Genomic DNA, 21,098 nt, shown 5'->3' on the forward strand with positions numbered 1-21,098 from the left:
ATTTACTGCTCTTGCACTTCCTGGCTAAGCCAAAAGGATTAATGTGTTGTGAAATGAGGAGTGGTGGTGGGAACAGACTCCCAGTGGGGCAGGAGAGTGCAATGCTTCGAGTCTCAGAATTCAAGATTCAGCATGTTGATCTAAATGGGTGAGTGTGTATGTTTGTGTGAGGGTTTAGTATTTATAAAATACAGGACCTAGAATGAGAGCCCACAGAACTACATTGATTTTAGTGGAGAGAGAAGGAAAGGGTGGAATAACAGATACACTTTTATAGGACATTCAAAGATTGTAAACCCAATACCGTAAGCTTTGGAGAATGATCTCAGAAAATAAAAGTGATTTCTATTTCCAAGTTTGCTACTGGCAAGATGCCTTCGGTTCCTAGGCTGAGTCATCACTTGCACTGACTTTCCTACAGATCATTGATTCTCAGCATCCACTTTGTCCTCAGGGGCTTTTGTCCCAGTTTAGGAAGTCCACAGACTTCTCTGAGGAATCTCTAACTACCCAAGGAAGTGAGGAGGATATTAAATCTGACAAAAAAGTGAAGAGATTATTACATGGAAACTCTGCACTTCTGCATTAGGAAGGAGAGATACATCAGTGGTTTGAGTCAACTCTTATGACACTTTTCAGCTTATCTATCTTGTTTGTCAAAAGCAGAATATTGGAAAACATTTTTTAAAATATAGTAGTTTCTTTGTGTTTGTCCAAGAGTCTATAGGATGATTTATGGTTCTTGATTATCAGGGCCTATAAAGTGTTTAATGGTGCTGGGATATAAAGTGGAACTCTGTCAAAATTATTGAGGCACGAACATTGTTATGGAAAAATAATTCCCTAAGGGATAGGAAAATGGTTTCAGATTTTCCACTGCCTTACACTACCCCCAGAGACAAAGGCAGTAACGAGGAACTGGGTTAGTATCCATGATGAAGTACAGCATGGCTGGGGAGGAGTTTCGAAGTCTTCAGACAACTTACCCCAACCTTAATTCTAGCTTTGAATTGTTGAGTGGAAATGGCCAAGAAAAACATGTTGAGGACAAATGGAAGTTGGGGGATCATAAGTTGCACAGTCCTGAGCATCAGTAAAAGAAGATCAGTTCTGTCAAGATTCCTCTGCCATTATATCCAAACATACACAGACGTGGGGGGCAAAACTAGTCAATAATTTTGATGTCCAATTGTATTACTCCAATAACAGAGAAACCTAAAAGTGCTATTATTTTGTTCTCAGAGGAGGAGAAATTACTTAACTACTGTGTTGCCTCTTTGGATTCAGTTTGCTGTTTCTCAGTCCGTAGGTGAATCTTCCATACTCAGATATGTCAGACCAGGAGTTAGAAACAAGTTATCAGGGATAGGGTTGAATGCCACAAGGAAGATAACCAATATCATGGGTCACTAACAGGATTTTCTGTTTTCTGGATGGTCAAGACCTCAAAAGCAGGACTATGTCCCTGTGGGTGTGTTGAAAAGGCTTAAGTGAGTCCACTGGTCCAGGAAAGTCAATAACTGAACCAGCAACAAAAGTTGGCAAGACATATCATTCTCCTGATTTTTTTTTTCTTTGCAACGGTCATCCCTAGAACTCTATATGTCCTTACTTAAAGGCAAAAGCCTAATAATGTATCTCTGAATGCCCCCAGTGACTCATGGTTATCACAACTCTGATAAATGCAGCTCCAAATGATTTCCTTGTAATAATGCTGGTTTTAAACTTGAAGCATCATTTTAAAATGAATTTGGATGTACACATGCAGGCGGAATGTATGAGTAACAGGCAAATGTAGGTAATCTCTTAGTGGTTTAATAGAAGTAACTGACAAAATACAACGCTAATAAAATAAGTGAATTTTTAGCAAGTGAAATTGCTGCATTCTGATTCTGCCACAGCTTAGCAGCAGGCTTCAAAGAGACTCTCCAAAAACAATAACACTGCAGAGGCTTTTGAAGTCCCTAAAATCTTATAGGTAATATTAAAATTTTGTCTTTGATACTTAGTAATGATAAATTATATTCAGGAAAAATGAAATTCTTCTAAAACAGTATTCGACTTATATATAATAAAGGCATTTTGGGGGCATTAATGCAGTTTGAATTAAAAAGTAGATATATTTATATCATCCTAAATCAATAATCATATGCTGCAAACCTTTATATATGTAATTTTCTAGTGATTGAAATTCTAGAGAAAATAGTAGATAATTTTACATTGAGCAAAAACTTTTCAGTAAGGAATGTCAATTGTAAAATTATCTACTATTTTCTCTAACATTTTCAATCACTGGAAAATTACGTATATAAGGTTTGCAGCATGTGATTATTGATTTAGGATGATGTAAAATATACAATTGCAACAATATTAGAAATTACAAAAGCCTACTTAATGAAGTGGTCAGTGTGGATTTATTTCCTCCAGATAATGTTTTCCAGGACAGATTTTAACAATTATTCCTCCAACTAGTTTAAGCTTTGGTACATGTGAAGATTTTAAGTAATAGTTAAAAGTTTTGATAATTATCATTGCCCAAAGTGTAGCTTTGGAGTTAAGCCCCAACCTTTCTTTTGAGCTGCTTTCATAGTGAACAATAACATGTGGTTCAAGTATTCCTGTGATATAAGTGCAGACTAAAATAAAGACATTAATGTCCCCAAATGTCTTCCATATGACAATGGAAGAAGGAAATATTTAGATTTTACAAATTGTGAACTCCAAATTATGTATGTATATCTTTTCCTGATAGTATGTTTTCATGACAATTTTGATTTTCACAAAATCAAGGACGCTGTTTTTATTGACTTTCATATTACATGAGAGTGGAGGCTGGGAATGGAACTGTCGCAAAATACAGGTAATCACTAAAGAAAAATAGATTAAGCCCATCTGTGAGAATTAAGTGTAGTTACCCCAATAGCAAAAGAACTTAGACTATTTTTCATAGTGTATGTCCAATGCATCTATGCCAAATAGATTTTTTTTTGTTTTTATAAGGTCTACACTCAAAGCAAAAGTGCTTTTGTGAATACAAATATAAGACCCCTATTCTAAGACAAAGGCAGTGTCTGTGTTAAAGTGAAAAAATGGAATTTAAAGTAGGGCAGAGATGACTTTGACTCTTACCTTTCCCTATTACCCACAGTGTGACACTGAGTAACTTATATTGCTAGACCTCACATTCCTTGTTCACAAAAATAGAGGTAGCTAGCACATTTTGCTGAAACAAATATGTAAAGTAGGTATCAAGGTGCCTGGCAAAGAGTAGATGCACCACTTTTGGACTTCCTCCAAACAATTACCACACCTTTAAAGGCAAACTCTTCACCTTCTCATTTACATTTCATATTATTTCTCCAGGAAAAAACTTCCTGGTCACACAAAATTGATCAAAATCTCCTATTACACCCTCTCATAGCATCCTGTGTACCTCCTTTATGATTATTATAATTTTAATTATGTTATTAATACTGTAACTTCTCAGAGATTATAGTCTATGCTTTTTTTGCATCCTTTGTGTCTAGTATCTGAATTAATTACATCATATTAGATGCAGAATAAATAATTGTTGAATATAGCACTGATCAGTCCACACAAAAAATTAAGGTGAATAATATCAGACCTTGAGATTTAAATAGATGAATTTTAGTTAATTTATTATATATACATATATTACACACACTTATATAATAAATTATATGTTATAGTACATATATATAACACATATATACGTACTACAGAATAAATTATAAATATTACAAGTGTGTTAATTCAGAAGAGAGGGGACTCATTGAAGGCTGAAATAGGTAGAGAAGGCTTGATGCTGTATGTGGACATTATTCTTAGGATCAGTTTAAATATTTACATAGGCAAAGAGGAAAGGCAGTTAGTCCATTCAGGAGATGGAAGTTACAAAATTTAATTAAGAATTTCATGCTTTTTCATAGCAATATAGAGTGTGACAAGACTAACGCAGGCAGAATATGCCTCAGAGCATTTGAAAATATCAGAATGCAGAGTTCTAATTACCAAATATTACTTCCTATTTGTAGCTTTGCCATTTTTGTTGTCATCATCATCTCCAATGTTTACCAAGTGCTTGGGATATATTATGCACTAAATATATATTTTAGGAATAGAAAGGAGAGAATCAGAGAATTTGGGGACAAGTGCTTCTTAATATTCTTTACTTCCCTTCTATATTTTTTATCTTTTTCATTAAAAAAACCTTTTTTCATTTTTCTTTCTTTTCTCTTTGGGATTTTTGGGAATTGTAATCAGAGCACTTTCTTGGTAATAATGAGAAGAAATAATTTTAGAGACAAACAAATAAACACAAGTTTTTAAAAATATGTGTGTGACCTCTGCAGTTCTGGTTTACATATTTGCAAAGGGGATGCAGCTAATGTACTGTGTTCTCAATAATATATATTTCCTAATAAATTTGTAATATTATATTAAATTAACTCTGTTACCTTTATCTTTCAGAATTGAAGAAGTCTTCCCAGATTTTTCTTTTCTAATTTCTGCAAGAGAGATCATGGGAAGAAAAAGTTACAAGGAATAAGAGAGGAAAAAAATGCAAGTCTCTTCATGTGTTTTGTATACTGAGGCTTAAGATCACAGGGCATCTGAGTTGATATTCACAATACAAATGTCTCCAGGCATATGTTGTCTATAAGACATTGGACTAAATATGTAAACAATAGAAAATAAGCCCATGAATTTCTATCACTAGTACAGACTATGCCATATATACAAAAAAAGGTACATGTAAACTAACATGGGCTTTGAAGAAGAAAGATATAAGAATGATAGCTAACATTGTCTACTTACTACGTGTCAGGCAATATTCTCTACCATTTTCTCATTCAGTGCTCACAACTCCATGAGGTATATAGGTTCTGTTATTATTTCTACTTTTCACATAAATTGATTAAATAACTTTCCAAGATCTTTAAATAGGAGACCTTGGATTTGAACCACTATATCTATGCTCTCAAGCACATAAGTACTGGCTCCAGTAGTTGCATAATGGGCTCAGTGAAGGATGTAAGAAAGTATGTAGTACTGAGGCAGAACTTGACAAGGGAAAGAAATTAGACCCACAAACATGAAATGGAAAGAAAGACACATTTTAGAGAAACAGAGAGAGAATGGGAGGCCTGGACAGGGCAGATCTATCAGTTTTGCTCCGTAGGCCATTTACAACCAACAGAAGTGGAGGTGATGCTGTGTGACTTCCAAGGCGAAATCAAAAAAGGTCATGCAGTATTCACCTGCTAATCTAGTGACACCTGCTTTGGGAAATGCAGCTGCCATGTGAGTAATCTAATTAACACCACCATGCTGGAGAGGCTACATCTAGGCAGTCCAACTAACAGCCCCAGCTGAGCTCCCAGCCAACAGCTAGTATCAACTGCCAGCCCTCTGAGAGAGCCATCCTTCACATCCAGGAGTCAGTGATTTTACAAGACTGCAGCCCAGCCAGACATCTGACTGCAATCACATGAGATAATCAAGTGAAAACAGCCTACTGTATCCTCCTGAAGTCCTGACCTACTAAATGATGAACAACATGAAATCAGCTGTTGTTTTACACCACTAAGTTTTGAAATGGCCTGTATGTAGAAATAGTTGTGAAAAGGTAGTTAATCAACAAAGAGCAAAATATTTGACCCTGTGAAAAGTACTCCAGTAAAGTTATATAGATAATAGGGAAAGAATTTATTAATTCTAATTTTAAAATTGGGGAAGGTTTTCACTGAGAGTACGCCATTTAGATTTAGGCTTATAAATTGGGTGGAATTTCATTGGCCAGGAAATGCCATTTTAATTGCATAACTGTAAGTAGATGTATTAGGGGTTTTTTTTTGTTTTTGTTTTTGTTTTTTTTGTCTTGCTTTGTTGCCAGGCTGGAGTGCAGTGGCGCGATCTTGGCTCACTGAAATCCCAGGTTCAAGTGATTCTCCTGCCTCAGCCTCCCAAGTAGCTGGGATTACAGGCACCCACCAGCATGCCCGGCTAATTTTTGTATTTTTAGTAGAGACAGGTTTTCACCATACTAGCCAGGCTGGTCTCGAACTCCTGACCTCAAGTGATCTGCTGAACTCGGTCTCCCAAAGTGCTGGGATTACAGGCGTGAGCCACCATGCCCGGCCATGTATTAGGTTTTTTTGTTTTTGTTTTTGTTTTTTAAGCTGAGAATGGTTCTTAGAGTTCTTACTTGGCTTACAGTAGGATAATTTTCCCTCACCTGAGATACAAAATGTAAAAAGGAGAGGTCTTTGGAGGAAGACATTATTTCTGTTTTGAAAGTATTGTGTTTCATATGTCAACAGGACGCCCAAAAAGGAAACATCCAGCAAGCAGTTGGAAAAAACAGGTGAAGTGCAGATCATTTACAGGTGCTGCAAAGCAACCTACAGTATTCCTTATAAATGAAAACTATCAATATAACTAGTAGCTTGTTTTTTCAAAGGCCTCAAATTAATCTTATTTGCTTTGTTCACACAGACTGACTTGACTTATTAAGTAAACCAATTATACAAAAGCAAAATAAACCAGAAAGTGAACAATTATTTTCTTAATAATATGTGACTGGTGAAAACACACCCACACACTAAGACTAGTGTTCTCAGCTGTTCTTTTTACCGGCATGTTTCAAATCCAATCTCATATAATTTGTCTGTATTGACATATCATTTATATATTGGTAGTGATGGCCTTAACTTTATACATTTTGATGTGCTATTGCCAGACCTTTAAAAATTTAAAATACAGATTATGATCAAAATAGCTATAGAAGTCGAGTTTTAAATAATCTGAGATAAAAACTATTCATTTTGAAAATAATACTCAATAGAAATGCATCCAGGAATTTTCCAGTTTAAGTTATGGGCCTGAGTATATTTAACCAAAAATAAATAGCAAAGAGCTTTTACTTTTAATTGTATTGTAGAATATAAAAGGTATATATGGCAATAGTGTTTCCTTTTCCTTCCACAAGAATTCTTTGAAAAAAGAGGCTCATGAAAAAGACAAGACAAAAGACTGAAATAGTGGAAAGTCTTATAACAGAGGATATCAGCCCTAGAGTTCTTTCCTGACACAAGCATAAACATTTTGAATCCAAACTACAAGTATTCATCTGTTTAAAGGAAACAGCAGTAATTATTAATACCATTGATCTGCCTATTATTTATTATTCATTGCTCTGAATGATCAAGTATAAATTCAGTTTTATCATTAGTGACATTTAGTGAGAATGTTAATACAAATATTTTGTTGGAGCTTTCTGGCTTGGTGTCAACATTGAACATAGCTAGAACAAAAAAAGAAAGTGAAATTGGAAAGTGTAAAGGATTCTAACAAAATTATCAGGCAGTTAAGATCCCTTGGTTCTATAAAGAACCAAATTCAAAATTCTTAATCTTTCTTACCCAGCTTGCTCTACTGAAGTGCTCAGAAATATAACTTCAAAAACTCTCTCTCTCTTTCTCTTTTGTAGTTATAAGATGCTTGCTGATCTGAGATATTTTTTCACGAACATAATGAATAATACCAACATACCAAACTTTTTGGACTTTTCTTCTGATGGAAAGAATAATTGTAAAGAACCACCTGGCAAGCTTTATCTGAAAGTGAAACGATATCTGATAATTTCCCAGAGTGTAACTTATAACGCACATCATCACACAGCATCAAAAAAGAAAATAAAATTGTCTCACAACATCTTGTGGTTGCTTCCTAATATGATACTGCACTGTTCCTAAAGTTATTTAATAGTGATTAATTGCATAATTGTTTTAATAGTTAATATGTGAATCCCTTACATGAATGTCTCTTTGTTTTATTTTAATTCGAATGCAATTTTGATAATCCAGGATATTTTTAAAAATATATTTTATAATATTTTCAATCTACTACAAACTCCAACATATAAAATTTATAAGTAAATACAGAGACAGAATTTTCAAGTTGCCTAAATGATTTAAAATATTGTGTTTACAATTATCATGAAGGAAATAATAATATATTGATGCTTTATGTAACAGTAAATTTGAATTCTTCTGAAAGATATAACAGACTAATTTTACTGTAGACACTTCATTAACTTTGTAATTAAATATAACTTGGTCAGGACACTGTCTTTAACTTTCTCTTTGTCATAATGATACATTTAACTGTTTTGTATTCTATTGGGCTAAAGAACTTGGTAAATATAGTTTTTTAACATTTTACATTTTTTTCCTGAATATATGTTTTAAAATCTTTACAGTGTTTCCAGTTGAATTATATCTATGCATTGCTATCTTTTTAAACTTGGGACTTTTATTTATTTCATAGTCTTTATATTTTATTTAAAAAGAATAAAATTTTGCAACCTGTGTAATCCTCTATCTCTAACTGGACAACCCAATTAAAAAGCATAATATAAAATTTTCTTGAATGACATCTGAACAATGTTGTCAGTACGTGAAGACTGTGGGAAGATATTCCTCAAGAAATTGTAAATAAGGGAAATTAGACTATTCTCTCAGATTTTAGTTATATATTTAACATATTTAGGGGATGGAGAATAAGTGAATTCCAAAAGCATCAACTAGAAAATACTATATAACACTTTGTAAATACTTCTTTGAAGAGCTTCCTTAAATTACACTTGTATATTCTAGACAAGCTGGGCTGTATTGGCATGTTAAAACAGTGACATATACAAAGGCATAAGAATGTGAAATAACAGCCTTATGCAGTAGTGTCAGTATTCTAGTCTTTTTGATAAGCTCTTCCTTATAGTAGTATAGTTCTTCAAATTACCTTAGCTGAGGGGCTTCTCTTGAAACAATCTAAATAACCTTTTCCTTTGACTAAATTCTGGTTCAATTTCATAATTACTAGGTTTTGAGGCTGTGTGCCTCGGCTGCAAGCATTGGAGTATTCATATATACACACTTTGATATTCTTATCCTTATGCGCCTTAATAATCTGACTACTAATCAAAATTAGTAGGGTGCACTTTAGTTCATCTCTGTCTAGCTCTTTCAGAAAGATCAGGAATATTTAAAGATATAAAAACATAAAATTAGCCCTCCTTTATTTGATAAGAAATTAGATATGCATTCTATTAACTTCTATTTTAATGTTGGGGAGATGAGATGAACTAGGATATCTTAGGGACAGGGTTGGCTACTGAACCACTAAAGAATACTCTTTCAAAGAAAATTTTATTAGTCATGAAATTTTTCTAGTGTAGTCCCATCAATTTAAGATGTCAAAGCTTCCATGTTTAAATTAAGATAATAACTTTATTACAATACTGTAATTTCCTTGAGGGCAGGGCTCAAGGAAATTCCTGTATCCACGTATAATGATAAAGCATTATTTTGTGTAGTTAGGCATTTTTTAACATAAGATCGCTTTAACTTCTCACCTGTCTCCAAAGAGGTAGGTATTATCCATAATTTTATAGATGTGATATCTGAAGCTAAGAGATAAGTAACTTGCCCAAGGTTACAGCTAGTAAATTGGAATGGAAAATTTGAACCCAGGTTATGAGATGACAAAGTTAGGGTTAAATTTCTACACTATACCTCTGGGAGCATCCTGGATTATAAAGTAGATATCACCACAAATTGTTCCTAAAAGTGAACAGGGTGCCTATCTGAATCACCAAATAACATCAATGTTCTTCATAACTGCCAGCCTGCCACAGCCTTGCAAATCATATGTCTGAAGCAGGGACTAGGTAGCCTAACACATACTCGAAATTCCACAACTATCTGTTGAATGAGTTAATAAATTTGTCAAATTTTGTGCTGATCACATTTTATCAGGAAACTTATTGTCAAATCTTTACACAGTAACCTGATCATCATTATAAACATCTTTCATGATTAGCCATTTTCCAATTTGTAATCTTTGTGTGGCAAAAGTGTCAAGTAAAATGAAATGGCCAATATCTGATAGTCTTCCTGGACAAAAAAGAAAATTACGTATATTTAAATCCAATGTTTACCTCACATTTTATTTTTTTTGTTATCTAAGAAATTTTGAGTGACTTTCCAAAGTTCAGTAATCTCACACACATATATTACACTTTTATGCCCATTTATTTTTTATAATAACTTCTGATTATCCATTCATTTAAGATATAATACATTCTTTATTTCTATAACAATGTTATTCATTATATTCTATATTGTCTTTTGAACTTTTTAAAATGGAAATCCTGTCCTAAAACACATTTATGTGGGATCTCAAGAATCATTCTCATTATAGTGTAACTGTTCAAATTGAAACTTAATTTATAAGATGATATATATTGAAAAATTGAAGAAATATAATTGAATATAAGAAAAAATGTTAACTGAATAATTATTAATATAATCAAAATAAAGGAGGCTTTTAATATATCTTTCTGCTACTCATGGTATAAAATTTCAAAATATACTTCAAAATTAACTTAGTGAACTGGACTAATTCTTCGAGATTTCCGTGCACTCGAGTTAGTGGTGCAGCACACCACCAAGGCACATGTATACATATGTAACTAACCTGCACATTGTGCACATGTACCCTGAAACTTAAAGTATAATAATAAAAAAAATTAATAGACCTTAATTTTTAGAGTAGATTTATGATTACAGCAAAACTAATCAGAAAGTGCGGAGTTCCTGTACATTCTTTCTGTAACAGACTGAACGTGTCCCTTCAAAATTCATATGTTGAAATCCTACTCCCAATGTTATGGTATGGCACCTCTGGCAGATAATTAGGTCATCAGCATGGAACCCTCATTAATCAAATTAGTGGTCTTAGAAAAATAAAAGGAACCCCAGAGAGCTCTCTTGCCCTCTTTCTGCATGTCAGGATACAAAAAGACAGCAGTTTGCAATCCAGAAGAGGGCTGTCACAGCACATCACCATTCTAGCAGCCTGATTTTAGGCTTCCAGCCTCCAGATCTGTGAGAAATAAAGTTTTGTTGTTTATAAGCCACCCAGTCAATGGCAGTTTGTTATAGCAGCCCAAACTAATACACCCTCTTCAAGCACACTCAGGCTCCATCACTATCAGTATCCCTCAAGAGTGTGGTACATTTATTACCATCCAAGAAGCAATATTGATACATCTTTATCAACCAAAGTCCATAGTTTACATTAGGGTTCAATCTTAGTTTTATACATCTTATAGATTTTGACAAAAGTATAATGACACGTATCTGCCATTGTAGTTTCATTCAGAATAATTTCATTACCCTAAAAATTCTCTATGCTCCACCTATTCACCCTTCTCTCCTCCCCAAACCCTAGTAACCACTGAGTTTTTAACTTTCTCCATACTTTTGCCTTTTCCAGAATGTCATACAGTTGTAATTATACAACATGTTGACTCTTCACATTGGCATATTTCACTTAGAAATATAATTTAAGGTTCTTCTATGTATTTTTATGGCTTGACAGCTCATGTATTTTCCACACTGAATAAAAATCTCATTATATTAATGTACCAGAATTTATTTATCTGTTCACCTATTGAAGGACATCTTGGTTGCTTCCTAGTTTTAGGAAATACGAATAAAGCTGATATAAACATTTGTGTGCAGGTTTTTGCATATACATAAGTTTTCAGCTTATTTGGATAAATACCAAGGAGCGTAATTGCTGGATTGCATCGTGAGAGTAAGGTTAGTTTTCTAAGAAGCTGCCAAATTGTCTTTTTGCATTTCCACAAGCAAAGAATGAGAGTTTCTGTTGCTCTACACCCTCCCCAGCATTTTGTATTGTTAGTGTTTTGGATTTTAGCTATTTTAATAGGTGTGTAGTGGTATCTCATTGTTTTAATCTAATGACATGTTATGTTGAACATCTTTTCATATGCTTATTCCCATCTTTATATCTTATAAGCCCAACTTATATATTTTTTTTCTTTCATGGACTTTGTCTTTTGTGTTTTATTTAAAATGTAATTGTCAAACCCAAGGACACCTAAATCTTCTATGTTATTTCCCAGGAATTTTATAGTTTTATGTTTTACATTTAGGTCTATGATCCACTTTGAGTTAATTTTCTTGTGGAGGACGTAAAGACTATTTTTGAGGGTTTTTTGTTTTCTTTTTTATTTTTGTTTATGGATGTCCAGTTGTTGCAACACCAATTTGTTCAAAAGTCTATCCTTTCTCCAGCAAATTGTTTTTTCTCCTTTGTCAAAGATCAGCTGATTATATTTTTGTGAGTGCATTTCTGAGTTCTCTATTCTCTTTCATTGATTTATTTGTCTATTCTTTCACTAATATCATACTGTCCTGATTACTGTATTTTTACAGTAAGTTGTGAAGTTCAGTAGTGTCAGTTTGCCACTTAATTCTCATTTTCCAGTGCTGTGTTGGCTCTTCTGGGTCTTTTGCCTTTTCATATAAACTTTAGAATTAGTTTGTCAATAGCCACAAGATAACTTGCTAGAATTGTTTTTGGAATTGTGTTAAATCTGTAGCTCAATTTAGGAAGAATTGGCAGCTTGACAATACTAAGTCATTGTATCAATGAATATGGAGTATCTCTCAATTTATTTAGTTTCTGTTTATTTCTTTTACGTGGTTTCCCTCCAACAGGTCTTATACATAATTTAAAAAATATACCTAAGTGTTTATGTTTTTGGTGCCAATATAAGTGATCGTTGTGTTTTTAATCTTGTTCATTCAAATTTTTCATTACTGATATAACAGAGTAACTGACTTTTGCATATTAACTTTGCGCCCTGAAACCTTGTTATATTCTGTGATTAGTTCCAGGAAGTTTTTGGAATTTTCTACATAAATAAGTCATATTTGAACAAATACAGTTTTATTTTTTTCCCAACTTGTACACCATTTATTTCCTTTTCTTATATTGTTGCATTCGCTAAAACTTTCAGTATGATGTTGATGAAGGGGCGTGAAAGCGAACATCCTTGCCGTGTTCCTGACCTCAGCAAGAGAGCTTTTAACTTCGCACCATTAAATAGAATGTTAGCTGTAGGATTTTTGTAAAAATTATTTACCAAGTTTAAGAATTTTCTGTCTATTCCTAGTTTGCTGAGAGTTTTTAACCATCAATGGGTGTTAGATTTTCTCAAATGCTTTTACCATTACTATTCATAGGGTCATGTGTTTTTTTCTTCTTTAGCCTGTTGATGTTATTGATTACTTAAACACTTTTCAAATGTCAAACTAGACTTGCATATCTGGAATACGTATAATTCTTTTTATGTATTGTTGAATTTGATTTTTTATATTTTAGATTTTTATTAAATTTTTAAAAAATTTCCACACTAACTGTATTGTAATCTTTGTGATGGATATGTACACAGAAAGAAAATTGAGGTCCAAGACTCTCAAAAAGGGTTTGGTTGGAGTAAAATAAAAGCCGATGCTATTTCAACAAACCAGAAACTGTTCTTTGTGTTGTGCTTACCAGAATGACAGAGTGTCTCTCCTGTGGATAAAGAAGTCCAGGACCCCTAGAATCCTTTCTCTTGAAAATGATATTATAAAAGGAGGACACAAGTTTGTGTTTTAAAAGATAAACCATATTATATTTAATAGATATTTGTTGAGTGTCTCTTTTCTACTGAGAGCTGGAAAAATAAGGAAGATTGTGTGGAGTTCGAACTGTGTTGTGATGCAACCACATAGACAGATTAAATACGATGATAAAGGGCTCAGAACTCTGGGTGCATAGCAGAAAGACTGGCAAACTCGACCTGAGAAAATGAAAGAAGACTTCACAGAAACACTGGCATTTGTGATGGATTCAAAAACTGATAAAATTTGGAATGAAAGAAGAATTAGAAAGGCATTTCAAACATAAAAAAAAAACATAAGAATACCATGGAGTGTGAAAGTTCATGTGGATTCTTGAATGGAGAACGTGGGGTAGAAACAGTGAACCTTGGCTGGAAAGTCACACTGAGGCTTGGTAGCAAAAGGAACTTGTGTTACCCTCTAAGGAATTTAAATGTATATGCTTCCAGTGATAAGGATTTAAAGATCCTAAAGCCAAACTTGTTCCTGCCATTGTACCAATGAATTTGCAAAATTTTGCTAAGAGAATATAGTACGTACTGAAAAACTGACAGTACAAAGTCATTATTGCCATGTTGTAAAAATAATCAGAAACCACCCGTCACACACAGTTGTTATCTACATTATCTTATCTCCAGAGACATTAAGTTCTTCTGCCCCATTTTTTATAGTTTTTTTTCTGTGTGTATCAAGGGCATACTTTCTATATCCTGTGTGCCATTATTACTAATTCTCATGCTTACAACCTTACTTAAAGCATTTTATGTCATTTAATTTGGTACCCAATAGCATGCCTTATTCCTGAGATATTTTTGAAATTTAAGTGTAATGTAAAGTATCAGCAAAACTTTAAATATTGTCATTCCATTTAGTAGATTTAAATAATATTTTAAGGTATTTTCATTTTATAATCTAAATTGGACTTTCCTGTTGATTGATTGTACTTGCAATCAGAAGACAGCTTGTTCTTCAGCATTGGGGGCAATGTGGAAATGTCTTGAGCATGGAAAACATGTCTTACAAGTGAGAATTGAACAATATTAGAGATGGAAGGTCCTTTAGAGATAGCTTAATACAATAATATTTGCTTATTTAAAAAAGGCAGTGCAAGGCAAATAAGTAGCCCAGTCACAGAACAAATGATTGATAGAGCTAAACTAAGCCCAAAGTTTTATTTGGAGATAGCTCTGTGCTCTATTGTTCAAGCAGGTTAACATTTTATAATTGCCACTGGCTATCATCAATTATTTCTTCTTTGAAGACCAAAGTTGTAAGCGCTAACTCCAAGTTAAGAATTTTTGATCATGGAATGCAATGTAAAGTCTTGAAATGAGAATGCAGATTCTCTGTCTGGGAAATAATTTTTCCTTTTTTTTCTGTATAAAAATCAAGTGAAGTAAAACCCAGACTTTACAGGTCATAATGATGAAAAACTTTTAACTACTACTTTGACATTCCAAGATCTGAGTTAAATTTTGACTCTTAAAGCATTGCTTTACAACTAGCTTGTAATATATCATTGGTCTATAAAAATTGGGACAATAATAGTCACTAAGATGCAGGTAAATGTTGTGTAGAATATTGATAAAGTGTTGATTTTCATTACTAAAATTACTTGACCTGAAATGTGTAACTTAATTTACAATGAGAATACAGTAACAATGCATTTTTACATAGGGCTGATGGTTTCAGATTATTTCTGTGATTTAATTTTAGAGTATGAAACTTAAATTTCATTAATTTGGTCCAGGAACTGGAAAAGTAATTGATGATAAGGAACTGTATTTAAGATAGTGAAAACCAATTCATTTGTCTTTTCATAATTAGGCCTGTAGTGGAAAGCTAATCTGTAAATAAAAGAAGAAAATAAATAAAAAGGAAACAAAATTTCTCAGGAAACAATCTTTGCTCTGACCACTCAGCTTTGTAATGTAGCAGCTTGTAATATACTTTCTATTAAAGATTCTTAAGGGAAAAAGAGATACAACCTACTGTGGCTTCAGCATAATAGCAGGAGTGAAGGTAAATATTAATCGATAAAAAATGAAATTAGCAGCTCAATAATCTTAAACTCATAATGTTGCATGGTGAACATTATAATGAACTTCTGATTTCTTTTATATAATCTTGTCTAGAATGTCAAAGGGATACATAAAGTTGGTTATTTCCTCACAGACATAATTGACACACATTGCCCATTTTTTGGGGTGAAATTCTCTTTAATGTTGAATAGCAATCCCATCAATGTCTGAATCACATGAATCAAATATTGCATGGCAGAAAGCAGACCTCTATGAGAAATTAATGTTAACAATATGAACTTCCATTGAGTACGTATTATTCTGCTGTGATAAGTAGGATTTAGATCTTTCTCTTATTAAAGGAATAGTGTTAGTGGAAAGAAAGAGTTAGAAAAGAAGGGACTAGAAAGTAATTTCCCATTAATGAGATAAAATATAAGAATAAATTGTTTTCATAATATTAAGTAAAATAAGAGTAAGAAGAAGTAAAATGTATTATGTGAGTAAGTGAGGCAGTGGAGTGGAGAATTGAGTTGCTAATGGTTCTCTTGAAAATATATAAACTACATAAACAAGGAGAGTATCCTCGTTTTCATGCATTGCCTTCAATATAGACCATCTTCTCTCCGAAGCCCATGCTATGCCCCTCACACCCATTCCCCAGCGCCTGGCCAGTTGTGGGCGCTCAATAAATATTAAACAACCAAAGCACGAAGTATTGTCAAAAAGTTTAGAATTCACAGGAATCTATAATATTATCATAATTTAACATTTATTGAGGGTCAACAGCATGACTTAGTCAACATATGCAAATAAGTTATTTTAAAAATACATATTAAGCAAATAATTAAATACAATTGTGTTAACTAAATCTTCTGTTTTACTTCATTGATTTTAAATGTAAAATTGTTTCTGTCTTTTTTTATAACTTTGGTACACCAAGAAATATGAACATTCATTATATTCAAATGGATAAAGTTTTCTCAGGGAAATCATTACTCTTAGATATTATTAGCATTCACTTGAAAGTATGGAATAAATCTACAATCAGTACACATCACAGATTTTAAAAAGACCAGTGCATACACAAAGAAGAGAAGAATCTGATAAGGTGGATGAGGACAGTGATAGATTTACAAAGCTTGCAATAGCACTTGGGTTTTGCCTGGTGTTGTGACAACGTAAAACACTATTACAATTATGTAGGGAACCATTGTTTACAGAATAGCATCAAAAGCAAAGAAAGAAACTCTTCAAGTGGACACAAATTAGCCCATTTATGAATTTTGAAACATTCCTTAATTTAAGGCAAAGTTGAATATTTTATTATAGTGAACTCTGATACATTTATGATCAACAGGCTCCAACTTTATACTTAATAAAATGTTTACTAACTGTGTTAAAATTTATTCTTGATGGTTAGTAGACAAATCTTATTTAATTACCTAAAAATATTTTTGTCGTGTTTCTTCTTAACTGACTGTCGAAGTGATTTTTAATTCTTAAGAGAACTGAATACTACATTATTCTGTAATAAAACTTTCAACTTAATTTTGAGATACTGGAATATCCATAGTATTTAAGTCCAGAGATTCAATATGCACAATTATACTCAGATCACAAAGTGTACTTAAACTCTATTAAGAGTAACAAAAATCATATAATTTTTCTAAATAAAGTCCACATGTTTAAACAAATAAATAAAATAAATATTTAAAGAGAATTTAACTATATTTCAATGAATTATAAACTAATAGATTATTTATACTTCTGAAGATAACTAAAAACTATGTAAGAAAGCAAAGTATACAAGTCTTAAAGCATTATGCATAACTATTAGAATATGGGACAATTTATAGAATGTCATTATTACTTCTCATATTACTTTATTAAAAGCACAAAATATCTATTTTTTGTATCAGTTATTAGTAATAGATATACTATCATAAAAATATGCAAAATATCCAAATATATTATTTCCTATGATTGTTATGATTGAAAAATATGAGGCCATTGTCATACAATATTTAAAATTGAAATGATTTACCAAGTCAATATAAAAATAGCCATTGAAAGAACCTCATTTTTTTCACACAATCCAAGAGCCTAAGCTTTAATAAGATAAAAGAAGATTTTAGTAAACAAAATTATAAAATCATCTGAAGGAGTAAGATCCTATCTCTAAGAACCATTTCCAGTCTCTTGTCCACTAGAGGAGACATTATAAAATTAATGAAACTGACACCAATGTGATGATCAGAAGAAAGAAACAATGTTTTCAAATCAATTGTCTGTTTGGTACTATTATTAGTGTGGGTGTTTTATATCTAGTCAATCTTCTTTTGATATACTGTGGCTATGAAAACAACCTATGAATATCATGAGTAATCAGCACTTTTATACTAGAGGGGGAAAGCTATAAAACTCAATGAAATCAAAGTAATTTGATAATTTATGTCATCTGTGTTGAAATTGATTTTATAAGAAAAAATGCCTAAGTATCTGTTACATGCTTATCTAGAAGTTTACACATTTTCATATCCTTTCACATATGTTTTCATGTTTGCCCTATACAACATCTTCTCAGATGGGCAGATCAGGGATAATTACCTTTATTTTTTAAAAAAATAAATTTAGACTCAGGAACACGCATAAATGAACACACTGAAATTAGGATCCAGTGCTCCCACTTTATATTTCAGAAACTAAAATTCCACTCTTCTTCAAAAAGAAACCAACAGAAACATCTACTGAACTGTAAAATTTCAGAGTCCCCAGAAGCCAGAATAAATTGGAAAACATTTTCCATGCAATTATAAAGGGATTTTATTTTGAAAAGCCCAAGGAAATAAATTCTTAACCAATCTTTTTACTTAACTGAATTCTTAACCTTAGTTTACTTATTTGACATGTGAGGGATTGAAGGATTTTCTTGATATATTTATGTCAAAAGATCTTAACTTCTGATATTAGGATTTCATACATTTAATTGCATCTCAAATTTGAAGGAGAAATCATTTAGACTTTGTTCTTGATAAAATTATTGCAAGTTCTAATTTAATTTATTACAATAAATATAGTATTATTATATAAGAGCAATGACATGAGGGAACGACAATTAAAATTATTAGCACACTTGAGCTCTAAGAGAAGCCACATCACTTTAAATGTTTTAAGTTTAGTGTACTGTAGCATTTTTCTCAAGCAGAGTCTGGAGTGATCTATTTATGATATAACTACATAAATACAAATAAAATGCATTAACTATTTTATACCATTATGATTTATAACACTGAAATTTCAGACCTCTTGGGAGAATGGTTGAAGTCATAATATAGTATATATCATAATATACTCTATTTTTGCTGTTATTTTCTTCATTTTAACTTTTACATATTTTTTTTCAAGCAACAGAAATAGTTTTTGCATGTATAGGATTGGGCCATCTTTATTTTTCAAATTATAATCAGTAAGGTGGTGTTAAAACCACAAATCAAATAGGAATATGTCTACCAGTTACCCTGGATCATTGTCTTATTCCCAGCAATCTTCAGCATGTCCCCTGATGTAATTAAACAGTTTGGGGAGTTTCCCTGTTCGGAACTGATATTCAAAGTTCAGTTACACAAAAGAAAGACCAACCCAGATTGCTGTCTCACATTCTCCCTGGCACAGAAAAACATGCAAGGACAGTGATAAAGAGTAATAGACTTAAAGGTTATTGTCTTCCGCCTGTCTGAATCCAGTGCTTTCCTCCGCATGTTGTTGTCTTTCTAAAGAAGATAATGTCAACCTCCTTCATTTTTTTTTACCTTGCTCCACTGTCTTGGTTGTTTTCTCTTCCTTCTTTCCAGGTACAGCTGCAAAACAAAGATAAGGTTTAAAGAAGAGTTCCAGACAGAAATACTGCTTCTGCTCAAAAAAAGCATTTTGGAGTTCTTTCAATGCTAAATCTTTCTTTTACACAAGTTATTTTGAAGCTTCTTAAACATTTCTCATTTCTCTATAACGCAATTGAAACCAGATTTTATATCTAAAGAATTAAAGAAAAAAGTGATAATCTTCTGCCTACATTTCTACAATTGTATCTGTTTTATTCCTTTACACTCCGCTTTGATAAACAAGCTCTACATAGAATTCCACTTGACAGGACTATGATTAATCTACTTGCATTCCAGGTTATTGCTGGAGTCATTTAGTGTCTTGTAAATGTCAACTAGATGCTCCTTTATATTCGTGCTTAACATAGCTTAATCAGCTGAAACAATAGTGTAGTCATGCCTGAGATTCATTTAAATATTAAATGAAACCATCCCAAATCATCAGTAACCAAAAGGGGATTATTTGGGTGCTGTACCCCTTTCTCTAAGATGTTTTGCTCTCAGTGAAGTATTCACTGTTTACCTATTTACAGTAGTTGACAGTCCAAAAGTAGAACAGTACAAATGATTCATTTGGAATCAGTGCACTCCATTGAAAGAATTGATTCAAGAAAATCTTCAGAGTTCATTAGCAACCATTAAATGAAAGATTGATGAGGAACTGATTATTGCTATTGCACCCAAATATCACCCCACATAAAACTGAAAGAAGAAAAAATACAACTTTAAAATGAAGAAATGTGTCTGTAGCCAACTTAACCCACTGATGAAACTTAGAAACATTCATTCATATCAGGACATCCAGACATCTTTTGCTTCCTGATGAGATGCCGTGTAGCATATACAGTATCATCTCTAAAGTATTATTTCCAAGGTATCCAACTGAAATTTAGCTAAGCCAGATTTAGCTTTCAGTTTCATCAAATACAGGATGTATAGAACATTTTAAACCATATTGTGAAGAAATAATTAGACCAATCAAAAATGTCTATAAGGTAACTGGTCCTGATCTTTGTAAAAAGACAGTGTAATTAAGAAGGGAAGAAGGAAGGAGGGAGGGAGGGAAAAAAAGGAGGTGAATTTCACCTTTAATTATATCTGTTGAAAAAAACAGATATCCAAAAATTTGAATATGCACTGGTTAGAAAAAAATTCCCTATATTTCCAGGAAAGTAACCTATTATTTTACCCAATTATGACCCCAAAATAGAGCAAACCATGTGACTGTGAAGCAAGGGAGATGTTAAACTAAAAGCAAATAAATATGTATGAACCTCACAGATCACACCTGTAGATAAATCTTACATAACACAAGATATTATAGGGTAAATACCAATGAATGCTATGCTCTTTATTTTGCTGTTTTTGTTAGATTATAGTCAATATTAGGGTTAGGACAGTGGGAAGGGGTAGGCAAGTTGGCCTTCAATGCTGAAATAAAGGCACAAGTCCCAAGATATTCCTGAGGTGACTTTCCAGAACTGATTTATTACCAGAAAAGAACTGTGCAGTTTAGCCTGAAATTATCAAATTCCCTTGAAGGGCAACCACAATTCTGGTTATTCTAAGGGATTATGTGTCCTAGAAGAAGAAGCAATGAATGTTTTAGAGTGCACAGTCCAGTTTTGCCA

At 32.6% G+C, this 21,098-nt stretch overlaps 1 protein-coding gene and 1 long non-coding RNA gene across 4 annotated transcripts in view; one reads left to right on the top strand and one right to left on the bottom strand.

Moving 5' to 3' along the window:
- TRDN (triadin) overlaps positions 1-21,098 on the bottom strand; it is a 420,612-nt gene that overhangs the window by 116,802 nt on the left and 282,712 nt on the right. For 2 of the 3 annotated variants that reach the window (NM_001407315.1, NM_001251987.2), the window contains one exon: positions 16,340-19,446. In NM_001407315.1, the coding sequence (NP_001394244.1) occupies positions 19,385-19,446 (62 nt within the window). In that variant the 3' untranslated portion in view covers positions 16,340-19,384. Of the gene's footprint in view, positions 1-4,478; positions 4,530-16,339; positions 19,447-21,098 lie in introns of those variants that run through there. The other variant, NM_006073.4, reaches the window with a different exon arrangement.
- On the top strand, positions 6-4,576 carry LOC105377984 (uncharacterized). Its single transcript, XR_942947.3, has 3 exons — positions 6-148; positions 2,791-2,860; positions 4,492-4,576. It is a non-coding gene; the product is annotated as an uncharacterized LOC105377984 (long non-coding RNA).

This window comes from Homo sapiens, chromosome 6 (genome assembly GCF_000001405.40).
Source record: "Homo sapiens chromosome 6, GRCh38.p14 Primary Assembly".
NCBI lineage: Eukaryota > Metazoa > Chordata > Mammalia > Primates > Hominidae > Homo > Homo sapiens.